We start from the raw sequence: 17,220 nt of genomic DNA, 5'->3' as shown, positions 1-17,220 counted from the left end.
GTATAATAAAACAAACAAAAAACAAGTATCAAAAGCACCTTTCTTCTAGATTTCTTGATAACAGCTTATTTTTTTTTAATAAAATGCTGGGGATTGGTTTGAGGCCTGAATTGAAAAGGAATTGGAGGAGATATTTTAATATGAAAAAAACTTTAGAGAAAACTTTATTCCTTTGAGCTTTTTTTTGATTGTGTATAATCTGCTCCTATGATGTTAGTGGGCACGATAGTCAACAAAATTTCCTATTAATTCTATTCTGCCTGGCTTATGTCATCTTGGTATATTGAGAAAGCCGTATGTATCAAAGGTGTTCCTAGATGCAGTATGAAACTGGACTTTGCAATTTGATGACAAAATGATGCTACATTTTAGATCATTTCAGGGGAAAAACTGGTCATACTTAGATGGGGTACCGTTTATTGTACTATTATGAATGAAAATACTAGGAATCCATTGAATTCTGATTTCTTTCACTTTTAGCATTTATGTATTGTTTTGTATCACACATGTTCTTACCTATTATAACTATTATGATTTTGATGAATAAAGAGATTATCTAATATTGCAAACCCAGTACAATTTAGGTATGTTATTTACGGTTAAATTACTGACTGTTAAATGAATGAGTCATTGAATGCTACAAAGTAATTCTGTATACAGAACAAAATTCAGCATTTTTTAAGGCATAGCTCTTGTATTATTTTCCTGCTCTTATATAGATCATAACTTTAGAGGAAGCACTAAAACCAATGAGGGAAAATTCCTTTACAAAAAGTCTCCCACTTGTTAGAATCTGAACAAATCCTTGACCAGAGGATTCTCACCACAGATAAATTCTAGAATCATTACTTTGGACTCAACTTTAAGGAGCGTGGAGTGGATAGAATAGGTTCTATTCTATCCTCTGTCCTCTCTCTGTTTGGAGGTTTCACACGAGGCAAATTTTAATTTCCGTGAAATGGAATCTTCTGACTTCAACATATGATGTAGGTATATGAAATTATTTGCATGCTGACATTTGTCTCTTTCAATGGTTCAGAGATGTTTTACTTTGACATGACTCTATTTCTTCTTGTTTTCACGTGTGTGTGTGTGTGTGTGTGTATGTGTATGTATGTGTATGTGTATGTGTATGTGTGTGTGTATGTGTATGTATGTGTATGTGTATGTGTATGTGTATGTATATGTGTATGTGTGTGTGTTGAGGGGAGACCGGGTTTCTATCTCAGAAATTATTTGCTGTGCTTTCTTATTTTTCCCTTTATTTCAGTTTCACATGGTTTATGAATCCTTTACTCACACATTTTCTTTACCCATTTGAAGTAGAATATCAATAAAAAGCATTCAAAAGAATTACTAACAAAAGGCATTATAAAATAATTTTAAAAATTCAATTCAGTATGGAGTTTGCAGAAAAAATGAGAATCTGATTTATATTCTCCTTAAAAGAATCAACTACTCTCGAATTTGACAGTAGCAGAGCAAAACCATGATAAGATACAGAGAAAAAAAAATTAAAGGGAACTTTTCATTACTTCCAGTTTTCTTATCCTTGATCCAGCCTTCCAGAACAAATGTAATGCAATATTATCTTTTTGGTGTGGTCATGTTTCTTCCTAATTGAAATCTACAATTGTATTATGGTTGCATTTAGATAGATTTAATCAAATCCTACCCGGCTTTCAACATTGAGATCCAAGTTTATATCTCAAGCCCATTATGTACTGTATGAGAGTCCATCCACTAAATAAATGGATTATAGTGATCATGACACTTTTCTTTTTAAAAACAGAATATCAGATCTTCTATTGTTGACACTTCTTGAAGATAATTGGGAAACTGGGTTGCTACTTGGTCCACTGTGTAATGAAAGGCAAGGTGACTTATTCTCCACAGACTTGCAGGTTTCCAAGTATTTGTTGGACTGTAGCCACCAGGGGTAGAATTTTTAATATATTTTTTTCCTAAATGTAACATTTTCTATCAAATGAGCTAAATTATCTCTAATATCTTCATGATTATCTTATTCCATTCCATTACAGACTGGACAATTGTAGGTGGCTGTGAAACGACTTTGCCCTTTTGTCAGTAGCTGAATGAAAATTAGACCAGACTAAAGAGACAGGCTGGTGGGTGTAAACATTCAAAAACAAAAATTGCTTAAAAAGAATCAAAGGTAGTAACGATTTTCAAAGGCTGCAATTCAGCAAGAGAGATTTGAAGTCTGGAAAGGATGCAGTGGTCATATAGTAATGGAAAGTGTAGAAAACTTCAATATATTCATGGTTGGATTTTTCTTCCTTGTGAATAATGGATAGTGTTAGCAAAATATTCTTTCTTGTGTAATGGAAATAACAATTGTCTTCAATTCTTCTTCCAATTTTTATAAAATTTCAAATAGTAGCCAAATAACTAGCTATTTATGCCTCATCCTTCACCATGTAGTTTTAATCCCTGGACATAAAAATATGGTTTACCCAAAGGTGTACGGACAGGAAGAGATTCATATAGTATAGAGACACAGAAAGCCTGTAGATTAGGCTCTAGGTTTTGCATGCACCATCTGGTCTCTGTTCTCTTGAAGATGTGTATGGTTTATCAGGGTTCAGCAGGTGGAACCTCACCACCTGGGTGTGGACTGTGAGCCAGAAGATAAGATGTTCTCAACACCATAAATTTCCATTCTGCTCTGAGGGAGGGATGATTCCACATTAAAACAACAATAGTATATTGCCTGTGATGGACATTTCGTTTAGAAATATTAATTATAATGAGAATTATTTATTTCTGCTCTGAATTATTTTTACTTTTTTTGCTTGATAGTATTTGTTTTATACAAAATAGGTACATAATCCATTTATATTACAAAATTTTACAGTGACATTTAGAATGCCTATCCAAGTTCTATTTTAGTGGTCTTTCATGATCACTGTTGTAGTTATCTTTATGAATTTGTAGTCTCTAGGTGGCAGCATTTCAAGTCTTTAAAATACGTATTTTAAAGTATACCAAAAACGAGGTGTTTCTGAATGTGGCTAGTGATGTTTTGGGGAAGTGTGGCAAGAATGCCTAATTTGCTGAGAAAAATCAAGGACTGGTTGAATTTTCAGGACACATTTGTCATTAATTAAAATGAAATTGACAGGAAACCAACTGACTGCCCACAAATAAAAGAAGTTTGTGTTTTTGTTCACAGCTGGGGTTTCCAAGGATTGACAGTGTGAGTCTCCATACACCATACTCTCTAGAGTGCTGGGGGAAAGAAAACCTCCTCCAGTCATTTTTCTCAGAGTGTGTGAGTTCAAAGAGAATTCTCTGCTGCAGTGGTCTGTGTGGCTTCCTAAACAGGGACATGGCCCTGGGCTGCATGCCCAGAACAATACAAGATTGGCTGCCTGTCATTACAAGAAACATTTATTGACTGCTTATTATATGCCAGCTACAGTCTACTGACTTTACATGAACTTACGGATTTATTCTTCACGATAATCTTAACAAGTAGCCACTGCTATTCTTCATTTTGCAAATGAAATACTGAGGCTCAGAGACTGCCCAAGGTAACACAGCTGGCAAGTGGCAGCACTGGGATTTAAACTCAGCCAGGCTTACTCCACAGATTTTTTTCTTATCTACCGTGCTATACTGTAGAGTCCAAGCCAGGGAAAAGGCCTAGATTGAGAGAGCAAAGTACAGCAGCAGCTATAGTGTGGCTTTCTTGGGCTTAGGAGAGAAACATCTTTATGTTCAAGGTTTTACAAAGAATTCTTCTGAAGACTTTGAGTCTACTTTCTGACCTGACACTTCAATTCAGCTCAGCACACATTAATCGAGTGCCTCTTATGATCTAGGAATCATGCAAGGCACGAAGCACAGAAAGACAGGTAAGGTACAGATAAGACTTTACCCTAAATCTTAGAAAGATGCTCTTTACTTTACAAATGTCCTTAGATGACAATTCTTTGCCAACATTCTTGAAGCAGCAAAATGATACAGTGAAAATACAGAGCTCCAAATGCATGCTTGTTCTGTACTAGAGGTTAGACTTCCTTTTTGATCCCCTCTCAAGTCATTCAGTGAATTACAACAGATGCCAATATCAGATGAATCTGATTCATAGTGTCTTCTCTGGCTATCTGCAGCAGGCTATGTTTGTTGGAAACTGCTTATTACCCTGCTGGCTTACTGATGAGCTTCTCAGACCACAAATATGCAATAACTTTAATGAAAGAAAAAAAGTAAACTTACTTCTTCCATTCCTGTATTTTAGATTATTTTTGACTCCTGACCTGTTCTCTAAAATAGCAAATACCATATAGAAAAAGCTATCAGCTGATAAATAGTTTTGCAAAAAAAAGACATAGCAAAACTGCATCCCTAACAATGAAGGCATCATCTGAAATGATATTTACTATCAAATTTCATAAATTACATGTAACAAATAAATGAAAACCTCACACTTTAACTGTTTAGCAGAAATTGCAACTTGATTCTATGATTATTTTTTACTAATGACTAGGAGCAATTAATTAGGGAGCTCGGAAATTAGAAATGTGAGAAGAATATGTTTGCACTTAAACAATTTGTTCATAAAATGGACTTTAAAAAATTTATTATTTCCATGTCTCTAAAACCCATAGCTAAATAGTAACCTTTCTGGAAGAGATTGTTTGGGGCCATGCCATTGGGGGAAACCCAAGCACTTCATAATAATAATAACAACCATTGAATTAATATTCAATCAAGCTGTATACTAAGCTCATGCACCATCTCATTCAATCCTCCCAAACATCTGTCTTACAGAGAAGGAACTGAGGCTCAGAGAGGTTACCTTTCCAAGGTCACATAGCTGGTTGTGATAGAGTCACCAACCTGGGAGGCTTGTCTAACAAACCTATGCTCATGCCTACCTTCCCATCTCTCCGACAAAATCATTTTACAATTACTCGTTGACTGTACTTAGTACCCATTCATTCAGTATATTGGAACTATAAGCCTTTACTGACTCCGTGAATTTTTGTGGATTTATTGTGGGAAATAAATTTATTTCCCAATTATATACTCTCACTGTTCCAGATGCTTTTTCCTTTCATGACTTGTCACAGTTGTCATTTTGCAATCATTTGTATGGTGATTTCATTAGTGTCAGTATTAGCTATTTATTGGTATAGCAAATTACTCCAAAACTTTGTGGCTTAAAGCCATAATTACTTATTTTCTCTCATGGCTTCTATGGGTCAGGAATTCAGACAGGGCATGCAGGGATGCCTTGCTTCTACTCCATGATGACTGAATCCTCAGCTGGGGCTGGAATCATCTAGAGGCTTGCTCACCCAAGTGTCTGGCAGTTGATGCTGCCTGTCAGCTAGGTGTCTAGCAGAAGCTTTGGTTGGAACATCTATACATAGCCTCAGCATCAGTCCTGGGCTTTCTCACATAATGGCTGTATCCAAAGGCAGGTACCCAAGACAGAGGGAGAGCACCAATGAAGAAACTGCATTACTTGTTTGTGAGAGGGAGGAATGGGATAATTTTATTGAGGTATAATTTACATACCATATAATTCACTTATTTTAAGTGTAACATACAATTCAATGTTCCCACTTGTGCCAGATATGGTTTTATTTACACAATTTGGGTAAGCTGGTGCACATGTTTCTTGCAGCTATTTTCTTTCCTGTTGGAAGGGCTGTTGACTCATCTGTAGATTTTCTATTGCGTGGTTGTCACATTTTTTAATCTTTCATTTGTGGTTTCTCACTCTTAACTCTGTCTTGTCTTAACACAGAGATTCTGCATTTTTTGCTTGCTCTTAGGTGCTTACTTTCATCCGTGGCCATGTCTTGGCCTCTGGCTTTTGGGTATTTTTCTGTTTTTAATACCAGCCCCACATTGAAACTATTATTTTTATTTGATCTCTGGCTTCTGATCATTTTTGGGTATAGCACACTCCCTTCCTTGTTTGGCACTCTATGTGCTAGCCTTTTTCCCTTTCATTCTTTGCTTTCATTCCTGCCTGCATTATAGCTCAAGGTCTTAGAGTTTGTTCTTAAGTAGAGTATATAGGAAAATAAAAGCATAGATATTTTTCAAGATTTGTACCATTAGCATTCATGTGAATGGACACATAATTAAATAAATATCTACTCATGTTAGGATTAATGATAAAGTGAAGATAATTAGGTATTCTTGAGGTATTCCACAAGTCACTTTGACATCTCTGACGATGGGGTAGCTTATTTGAAATGGGGTCCTTGATTGGAGAAAAAGTATTTTGGGTTCCTGGGCACCATTCTCCCACACACACATATTCTGTATGTTTGTCAAGAACTTTCTTTACACATGTGACTAACCCAAAAGTAGTCATGCAAAATAACTAATAAATGTGGCTTCTGTTGTTGTCAGGCAAGGAATTTCAGCTGTAGACCCTATTGACTCATGGCTCTAAACAATTCCTCCCACTTCATTGCAAACGAAACTCTGAATTCTGATTTTGTTCAGGTGTATGACTGAAATGTGAGCAGGAAAGGTGGAGTTAAACTCACACTCCCTAGCTCTAGGCAATAAACAATGAAGTGAAAGCCTACACTCCTCCTTCACCCCTTGGGAGATGTGACATGGTGGCAAGAGCTTGGAGGTGCTGCAGCTATTTTGTGACCACGAGGGGGAACCAACAAAGTAGCAGGGAAGCCAACCTAGAGCTCTGACTTATTTTTTTCTTTTGAGATGAAACTTTGCTTTTTTTCTCTGCCTGATCTCAAACTCTTGGGCTCAAGCAATCCTTCTGCCTCAGCCTCCTGAACAGCTAAAGTAACCAACTCTGAAACTTCTTCTCCAAGGAGTCTTGGTAAGTGAGACACTAAAGTGTTATTAATGTTTAAGCCACTTTCACTCACATATTTTGTTACTTGAAGCAGAAGGGCTCCTAAATGACACAATTCCTAACTGTGAAAAGAACAAATCATATTTATCTCTGTTGGCAACAGAGTAGAAGTATACAACTACTTGCTCTCATTAACAATCTCACTATATGCTGTGCATTATTCCTAAGATTATTATAACTTATAATTTTTCCTTTGGAAATTCAGAGCTTATAATAGCGTTTGAAACTTCCAGACACCTGAGGCCATAATGACTGTGTGTTAAAGAAATATTAAGTTAAGATTATACATAAAAATGGTTTACCCAAGTTTTAGAATTTATGCTTTCATATATTAAAGGAGATAGGGAGAAAATTCTGAAGATCTGAGGAGAGGATTTAGGAAACAGAAATGTTTAGAATTGGAAACTATAACATATCTCTATGGGAGGAGCACAGACTGCTAGGCTAGGGATCATTTTGTACTGCCCAATTGTGTGCAGGACTCCCACTGGAATCAATCAGAGTCATATGCAAAAATCGATGGCAGATCTTGCCCTGAAACTGTAAATGAGGAAAGCTGAAAAATCTGAGCTATTTCTTGATATATGTCTGGGAATGCAGCAGGCTTTGGGGAGGTCAGATGCTTGATAGAAACGAATGTGCTTGAAACTCTAATATTGCTGGATAAATTAACAAGAAAGCGAGAATCCTATTCATTGTCTTTCTTTAAACTTGGAATGATTTGTTATTTTTAAAAAAAGGCCTCCAGCACTGCAATTATTATTTTTTCCAGATGGTTGAGTATTTTAATGAATAATACTCAGTCTTTGAAGAAATGGTATGAAATTAGACTTTTTTCTTTCCAATAGTCTTAGAAAAAAATTTCTTTTCTTTCAGGCCTAAACTAAACCTGTGTGCCAGAGGCTAAATTCTGTGCATGATCATTTCTGGAACAGAAATGTTAGGTGAATAAGTGCTGTACCAGCTGCTTTATGGGTAGTCTCCTTGACTACTAGAAATAGAATAAAGAAAGCAAGGTGGAACATCTGGCAACGTTAAGTGTCAAAAATCCATTTTCAAAGCCTTTTGTCATGGGGGTTCAAGGGAGTAAATAAAAGCGTTCTTCTAAGTCCTGGTATGATTCTATATGTTAAGCAGAAGTTGTGATTTATGAAGAAGAAGAAGACTTGAATCGACTAGGTAAACTAAACAGAATCTTGCTCACAGTCAGTGTTTATTAGAAGTTTGTCTTATCAGTTGTAATTGGAGAGGGAATTTTAAAAAATTTTGCTTTTAATCTTTACTCTGAACCAGGCCATCTCTGTAATTTATAATCTCATCATTTAGGGGGTAAGTGGTTACTGTATTTTTGTTGTATCTTCCTTGTGGGACACTTTTCATCATTTTTATTAGCATTTTATGACTCCATAGCATGTATTAAGTTAGTATGAGAAATTTACATTATACATTATTTTAGGGTCTACAATATGAGATCCAAGGCAATTTTGAGAAAAAGTAAAAGTATTAAAAATGATCTGAAGTTTTTTGGTCACGTGAAAGTCATAAGAGATGCTTAGTGGATAAGAGCAAAGGTGTAGACAGTCTAATATCTGTGGATGTAGCCCTCAAGAAATTTGCAGACTGTGTGACTTCTACAGTATTGTGTAGAATTTGGGGCTTTAGAGATCATGTATTCAGCTCTTTCTCTTACATATGAGGAACTGGAGGAGCTCAGAAAAAGTCCATTATCTTGTCCAGCACCATACTTTGGGTTAGTGAAACAGGAAGCGAGCCCACATCTTCTGACCCCTATTCAGAACAGAAGTCTTTAAGACTATGTCATAATATTAATTTCAGATCTCTCTAAATTTCTCCAATAGTCCACTGGAGGTCTGTCATTTTATAATTATCTATAGCCTTGTTTTTCAAGAACATTTGCAGGGTTACGGGTTCAATTAATTAACCCATCAGTACACAATATTTGCATGTGTTATTTTGTCCTAAAGCAACCTCTTTAAAATTTCCAGCTTACTTCTGGTTTCAGTGTTTTGGGATTTAGTAAATTATTGTGCAATATATTTATACTCTTTATAAGATTGCTTCTCTTGGTTTCAATGGGTTTATCAGAAAATGTTGCTATAATTGATCTCTAAGGTCCAACCCTAGAATTCTATTAATCTATATACAATTTCTATTTATTCTGTGGTTAAACTCTCCCTGGTATTAGTATGTTATTGTGTTTCTTTCATTGGAGGATAAAAGCTTTCTTTGTGTTTACTAAAATAACTTTAGACATGAATGGCTAGAAATATTTTTGGCAAGCTTCTGCTTCATCCCTGAGTTAAACTGGGGTTTAAGACTGACCAGGAGAGTAACACCATTATAGTCTTTTAGAATGCCAAGAAGTCTGGATTAAAAGTAAGTTCCCTGAGCTAACTGCTGTCTTTCGTGTTCCTTAGTGTAGGTCTCTCTTTCTGATCTCCCCGTCCTTGGATTCTCAAGTGCTAGAAATGCAGAACCATTGCTCATTCTACCTTCTCCCACACCCAACCCCCCACTTGCCTGTACTTATTGAACTGCCCTGGGGCAGGTAAGCTATGGCCTCATTCTCCAAAGTTCCTAGGGCCTTAAAGTCCTCTGTTGTCCAGAGCTCCTAGACATGTCATTTTAGTGGTACAGGTACCAGATAGATGCTCAAAGACTTCTTAGGTTGTGGTCTTGGGCCTGCACTGATGGGCTATGAACATAAATTATATCAACTGTAGGGCATGGGGTGGGAGTCAGTGCTACAGGAACTATGGGCCCTGGTTTTTCTAATGTGTCAGTGTCAGTGTGAGGGTGACTATACCGATGATGAGGGTGAAGAGAACCAAATAGTAAACACTACTGGGGAAAACTTGAAATCTGTGCTGATGAATATAAAACAAGGAGAGGAAAATCAAGGTTTAATTTGGCTATGCAAAAAATACCAATTACTTTTGTGACCTAATTTTAATTTAGATTTATTTATTGAGCAGCAAAATAATAATTGTGTATATAGCTAAATATGTCACATACATTCTATTATAAGTTTTATTGATTCCATTATTCAATTTTACTCTTGTACACTCATTCCCATAGTTGTGCAATGGGATTGTTTCAGATCTTAACAAAAAATTAAATTACATCCTAAGTTAATGGTGAGCTTAAAGGATTTGTGTGAATGTTAATGAATGCCCACCTAGGAACTGTCAGGTACATACAGGCAGATTTTGTGAAGCATTTTGGAATGGGGGACTTAAATCAAACATTATTCTTTGAACAATTTTTTTATAATACCATTTCTTGTTTGTTCCTACATGTTCATTGATAAAATAATGAAAAAAAAGAGTAGTTCTTTATGCATAATTACAAGATAGAAAGATAAGCAACAGTACCATTTTGGTGTAAAGTTTATGATTATACACACACACACACATTTTTTGGGGGAGCAAAATTGCTCTCAACATTCTACTTCTTTTGTTTTTACTTTAAAGTATTAGCTTTCCTGGGTTAATGACGGTATTGCCATAACTGACTTCATTCACCCCCAGTTCTATGAATCCTTATTTCATTTTCACTTATTTTTGTACACCAATATAAAAATTATTTTTAATTCACCATTTCATACCTAACAATGTTTTGTGAAAATTTTCATGTTCTTAAATATTACTTAATATTATTTAATGGCTTTGTATTATTCTATTGTATGTTTATATATATCATAATATTTTTCCTTAATCTTTTTTAAACATTAATTTTTCCATAATCTTTTTTATACATTAAAGGCTACTTTAAAATTTTTCCATTGCTATATTTTATGCTGTTATTGTCCTTGTACATAAACTGTTTCACACATGTCTGATGATTCATGTAGAATAAATTCCTAAGTGTGTAATTTATAGGTCAAACAGCCTCCCAAATTTATGTTTTTATAAATACAGTGAAAATGACCTCCAGAAATGATATACCAGTTTATATACTCCTGAATTTTAGCTTAGCATATTATTAAATATTTATTAATCAAGTTTAACATGATAGCACATTATTTTAATTTGCATTCCTTCCTTTAATAATGTTTTCATATACTTATTAATCACTTGTACTCTTTTGTACATTTTTGTGATTATTAATCTTCTTCATTCCTTTACATATTAACTTTTATTGTACAAATTTATTTATTTATTGTAATTGTATTACAAATTTATTTTCTTTTGTTCCTTAACACACTAGCTGTGTAATCTTGGGACAGCTATTTATCTTGCCTGTACCTCAGTGTCTTTAAAGTAGGACTGAATAATCTAGAGCACTTCTTGAGTCAATGTGTTCTGAATCTAAAAAGTGGCTCAGATTCGGGAACTGAGTGGGAGTATAACTTTTTGTCGTGCTGGCCACTCTCAGTTTCCAGCTCTTCCATTGCTTTTTATCTGGTTGTAGACATTACGCAGCACCATTGTTAGTTGCATGTCTGTTTTTCTCCTCAAGGTACAAAGCTCTCTTAACAACTCCCTGAAAGTCAAAGCCTCTAGATTACCCTCTGGCCTTGCCTGTAGTTAAGGTGTTTCTGGTGGCTTAGTACCACTACCTGAACTACTATCTTTTATTACAGGGTCCTCTCTTCCCCACAGACATGAACGAACCAGCTCTATGACCACATCTCCCATAACCAGCCCCGGCCTGCAAAGGCAGCCACCACAGAGCTTCTTAGTGATGTATCAGCGCATTCCTGATGGACGGTGTGTTACTTGGTGTTCCATTCTCCCAGTGAAACATAATTCTCTGGTCAGTATTCTGATCTTTCACGCCTTGTCTAGCATGCCCACTTCTCTCAGCCTCTTTTTTTCTTTCCTCTACCACCTGTCAGGTGACTCTGACATTTCCACCTCACTCAGCATGGGCTGTCACTTTCCTCAGATTTCCAAGAGCCACTCTGGCAACAAATGTAGCCACTCCATGAGGTTCCTGCCAGGTGGTTAAATATTGTGCCTGGAGGAAGTGATCCAAGTCAATACATCTTTGTTTATGCAGTTGTATATGCCAGCCTTCTTGACCAAAGTGCCCCATAAATGCAATACCAGAGGTACTCTCCTGTCTCTCACTGGTAAAAGATAGATATTTCTTGTAGCTTCTTTGGTGTATAGCGTACTTCCTCCCTTATCAGGCTTAACATGTGCCCGTGCAGGTTATGCTCAGATTTATTCTAGTTTTAAAGCTGCCATCCAGAAAAGAAAGTAAGGACATCTCCCAAGAGAAATACCTGTTTCTTTGCAGGGGTGGAGCCTCTGTGGCATCTCCAGCAAAAGGATTCATGTTTTTGTTTCATGGTTTTCTACCCAGGGCCCTGATCTTAGGGCAACACACCTTCCTCAACTGAGTATTGAATCATCTGTAGATCTCTGTGACTTAACTTTCCAGATCTTCAATCTGCTGCTCACTAATGTCTTGTCTTCCATTTTGTAGGCTATCAAACAGGCTAATGGCTTTCACACTTAGCCTTTAACTGCACGACAGCCCTCAGTTTCTTGTTATTCTTTTGTAGTTTATTCCTTTGTAGCAGGAACCTCCAACCTCTGTCGTCTTTACAGACACTGCTGCCCTTTGTCTTCTAAAGGCCTTCCCAAGGCACCGTTGGCGACCTTTAGCAATTCAGTGTCCTGATGCCAAGGCTACCCTGCCTCATATACCACGCAGGATGGCACCCTTTTAATGAGGCTGTGCAGGATGGCACCCTTTTAATGAGGCAGTGAGTGAGCTAGTTCCCACACCCCATCAAACTGCTTTTCTTGGACCACAAGTGGCAGGTACCATTTATGCTTGTTGAGATGTTCAAGAGGCAGGCACCAAGAAAGAATTAGACAGTGTATTAGTTTCATTTGGCTGCTCTAACTAATGACCACAAATTTAGTAGTTTTAAACAGCACAATTATTTCAGTTCTGGAGGCCAGAACTAAAATCAGTTTCTGCCTGAAATTAGTTTCACTCGTCAAGATAAAGGTGTCAGGAAAGCAGCACTCCCTCCAAAAGCTCTAGGGGATAATATTTTCCTTGCCTTTTCCAGCTTCTGCTGGCTGCTCGTGTTCCTTTGTATCACCAGAGTCTTAAAATCCCTCTCTCTCTCTCTTTCTCTCTCTCTGTCTCTGCTATTCATCACTGTAAACCAAAAATAGAATTCTAAGCCCTGCAACCATCCAAATGGATCCCTCCTCTTGGCCAAGAGCATTCCAAAGCTAACCTGAAAAACTAGCTTAGGCCACGATGGGAAAGGGCAGCTGAACAGCCCTCATTATACCCTCGTCCCTTTTGGAATTCAGGGCCAAGTAACCAGTATTAACATTAAAACAGAGACCTTAAGACTGATAGAACAGATTCTTTAAATCTGAATAAGAAACATTTACAATCTATTCGCTCTGAAGCTTGTTATCTGGAGGCTTCATCTCTATGATAACAATCTTGGTCTTCACAACCCCTCATGGTAACCCCTACATTTCTTTCTTTTGATTCCAGGTCTTTAGATAATAGCTCAACAATGGCCAGTCAGAAAATATTTGAATCCACCTATGACCTGGAAACCACCCACTCTCTCTTCCAGTTGTCCCACCTTTCTGGACCAAATCAGTGTACTTCTTACATGTATATATTGACATCTTATGTCTCCTTAAAATGTATAAAACCAAGTTGTTGCTTGAACATGTTGGGCACATGTTCCCAAGATTTCCTGAGGGGTGTGTCACAGGGCATTTGTTACTCATATTTGGCTTAGAATATCTCTTCAAATATATTACAGAGTTTGAGTTTTTTGTGGACATCACACTGCCTTCTCCTCTGTTTATATTTATGTCAAACTTCCCTCTGCCTCTCTCTTATAAGGGCAGTTGTGCTAACTGCCCTTTAGGGCCCAGCCAGATAATCCAGGATAATCTCCTCATCTCAGGATTCTCAACTAATCACATATGCAGAGATCCTTTTCCCAAATAAGATGCATTAGAAAGTTCTAGGAATTATGACCTGATATCTTTGGAGGCCATATCTGAGCCTACCACAATAGCAAGGGATTTATTGGGGAAAATAGCTCTGAAAATAAGGGAGAGAACCAGAGAAGATGGAAAAAGCCTTCAATGCAGTTCTGACATCTCTGAAATGGAGTGACAAGGAAGGGCCAATGTATATAAAGAGTTTCAGACTGCAACACAATTTCTGAAAAGTTTTGTCCAGTCTGATGAAAAGTCCTTGAGACAAAGTGCTCCATTTAAAAAGTCCTGTGTCTTCAGGAATGGGCCCGCATCAGTGGGCCCTCTGTGTAAAGTCATTGGCTAAATGCAGCCCATTGGAAGCGTGGCCTGGGCAGGATGTGGTGGTGGAGCCAGAAGGGCAAGGGCTTGAGCTGTCAGTCGTTTACACTTCCCACAGCAGTAAAGCTGAGCAATGAATTTTCATGGCCATGACATCCATCCATGTATCTCTCCATCAGATCTTGTTGCCACCAAACTTCACATTCTTAAAGGTCACCAACCAGCTGTCCAACCCATTAGCCATTAACCGATAATTAGTTTAGATTTATACCTTTCTGATTTTCCTTTTATGCTTTCCATAGATTATGCTTGAAGTTCTGTTCAGTGGATTTCCTTCCACTACTCTCTTTCCTCAAAACCTCTAAGCAGGACTATGATAAAAACAGTGTTATATTCTTGGATGGTGACAGAACACCTTGTAGTTATCCTTAAGCAAGGCCTGTGCTTTTCCCTCCTCTATCAACCTGCTATAAGGAACTTTAGATATTGATGAGGTAAAGGCGTCAAGGCAATCAGGGTATGTCCCATGGAGTCTGATTCACTAGCTTATGTGATTTACTTTGACTATCTAGACCATCTTCAGCCTGGTCCTGAGTGTACCATTTCAGTTGAAATGTGCAATGCTGCTACACATATCCAACTTTGTAATTTGGCACATTAAATAGGGCCCAGTTCATGATGGAAGCCTTGGTTCTGTAATTCATGGTGTAAGGGCTAGATACCTTGTGACTAAGCAACCATGGATTCCCATCATGATGTCTTGTGCCTCTGTCAGACCCAGTTCCAAGCTGAGATCTGGTTTCAAATGAAGGATAGTTGCGGGAAGAAAACAGCACGTCCTTTTCCCCAAATCCTGAGTCTGTGTTGTGATTTTTCTATTAATCCTTCTCTCCACCAAATACACTTCAAGTATCATCCAGTCTGCCTGCTCATAAAGCCTAAATGACAAGGCCACTCACCCCACAGCTTTGTGCTCAATGTTGAGCCTTTTCTCACCTGGGAACTCATTTAAAGCTGGGTGCTTTACATATTACCTTGTACATGGGTGGGGGCAGTGTACCCAAATATCATATATATTCTCTCTAAAATTTAAAAAGATCTACCAAGCACTGAGCCTCTTTCTTCATAGCAGGATTGCCAAGTGCAGCCAAACTTTCTCTCATCTTAGAGAGGCTATCTTGACCTGCCACAGACCATCACTCCTTTAAAAACTTCTTCTATGTGCAAGTCTCTGACTTTCGTGGAATTTATCTCACCTCCCTCTGGCATGCATATATCTTTCAAAAGCATCTATTTTTTGCTACTTCCTGATCACCAGGTCCAATTAGCATATTACCATCAATGTAATGAACCAGTATGATGCTTGTGGAATATCAAGGCAATCAAAGTCCCTCTAGGATATATTAAGACTGAGATCTGGAGAGCTGACATAGCTCTGAGTTAAAAGAGTGACAGCGAATCATTTCTAATTTTCTCGATTACTTGTTATAGAAAAGAAGATGTTTGCTGGGTCAATGACTGCATAAAAGGTGCCAAGGGTGGTGATGATTTGCTCCAATGGTGATACCACATTTGAAATAGCAGCTGCAATTGCTGTCACAACCTGATTAAGTTTATGATAATGCATAGGCATCCCTGAACATACATCTGCCTTTTGTATCAGCTAAATAGGGGAGTAAAAGGAGGATATAATAGAAATCTTCACCTCTGCCCCTCTGCACCTTTCATGTCTTTGATGATGGTATTATTCTCTGCAACATCCAGGGATGGATGTAGTATTGCTTTAAATGAGGTGAGGCTAGGGGATGGGGAAACCGGTAGAGAGCAATGAATCTGGCTTCTTACAGTAATAGCTCTGACACCATTGATTACAGAACCAATGTGCAGAAGGAAATAACCACAGAATGGGTATACAGTTGCAGTGGATCTACTGTGAGATGGACTAAAACCAAGACTCCAACTATCAACTGACCTCCACAAGACTCTTGTTTGACAAGGGTAGACTTTCTTGTCTTTGTGGGTCAACATCAGTTCAGAGTAGTATTTTTCAACATCTGAATGTTTACTTCCCTTTTCTCAGTGTACAGTTACCCTGGTACACAGCCATGTGTTCCTCTGGAGAAGGCTTGGAGGAAGAGTTTTAGTAAACATCTGTGGCCATGTTCAGGGTCTTCCTCAAGTTCTCCAACTAAGGGATTAGGGGATCTGAGAGCTAGAACTGGCTAAATGGTCTTGTATTCCCATTCCAGTGACTCACGTCAAGTTTTTGCCACTTAGAATTTTTTCACAGATACATGTCAAACAGTATTTTCATAGCTGCCCGTTTATTTTATTCCTAGGGATCTTCATACTCAATTAGCTACCACCAGAGATCCCTTTAGGTTAAAATACTTTGATTACTGCTCCGCCCCATTGGCTTATTACGGTAATTGCACACAGCTTGTCTCTGATGATTAAAGACTGCCACCTGGTTTATATCCATCTGGAAATGAAACCAGGGAGCCTAATTTTATGAAGGCATCTGCAACCATCATCTCTAGCCTAAAAAGAATAGCGCCATCGAGCTTTTTAAGAATGTTGTAGGCTGGGTGCAGTGGCTCATGCCTGTAATCCCAGGACTTTGGGAGGCCGAGGCAGGTGGATCACTTGAGGTTAGGAGTTGGAGACCAGCCTGGACAACATGGTGAAACCCTGTCTCTAATAAAAATACAAAAATTAGCTGGGTGCGGTGGCATGTGGCTGTAATCCCAGCCTCTTGGGAGGCTGTCGCTTGAACCCAGGAGGCAGAGGTTGCAGTTAGTTGAGATCACGCCACTGCACTCCAGCCTGGGCGACAGAGTGAGACTCCATCTCAAAAAAAAAAAAAAAAAATTAGAATGCTGGTCTTCTCCACCCCAGTGCATTTCCTAATATCTTGGTGAAGGAGATGTTCTCCTGGTACCAACAGGAATGGCTAGATTTGGCTAAGCAGATTGCCCGTAGTAGTTTCATTTCAACATTATCTCCCTAAGCCTTCATAGTCACTCTTTCTACTGTAGAATGCCAATGTCTGGC

At 37.9% G+C, this 17,220-nt stretch overlaps 1 long non-coding RNA gene across 1 annotated transcript in view, besides 1 other annotated feature; it reads left to right on the top strand.

The window, feature by feature from the left end:
• UFL1-AS1 (UFL1 antisense RNA 1) overlaps window positions 1–17,220 on the top strand; it is a 321,372-nt gene that overhangs the window by 49,616 nt on the left and 254,536 nt on the right. The gene's annotated exons all lie outside the window — the stretch shown is intronic.
• Window positions 5,829–5,878: an enhancer, noted in NCBI's record as "active region_24841". NCBI's record gives its function as "activates an Ori minimal core promoter by ATAC-STARR-seq in GM12878 lymphoblastoid cells {active_cell/tissue: GM12878}" and the evidence as "EXISTENCE:reporter gene assay evidence [ECO:0000049][PMID:35858748]".

Source organism: Homo sapiens, chromosome 6, assembly GCF_000001405.40.
Source record: "Homo sapiens chromosome 6, GRCh38.p14 Primary Assembly".
In the NCBI taxonomy this organism is placed as follows: Eukaryota; Metazoa; Chordata; class Mammalia; order Primates; family Hominidae; genus Homo; species Homo sapiens.
The sequence above is the reverse complement of the archived record's forward strand: the minus strand, read 5'-3'. Positions and strand labels throughout refer to the sequence as shown.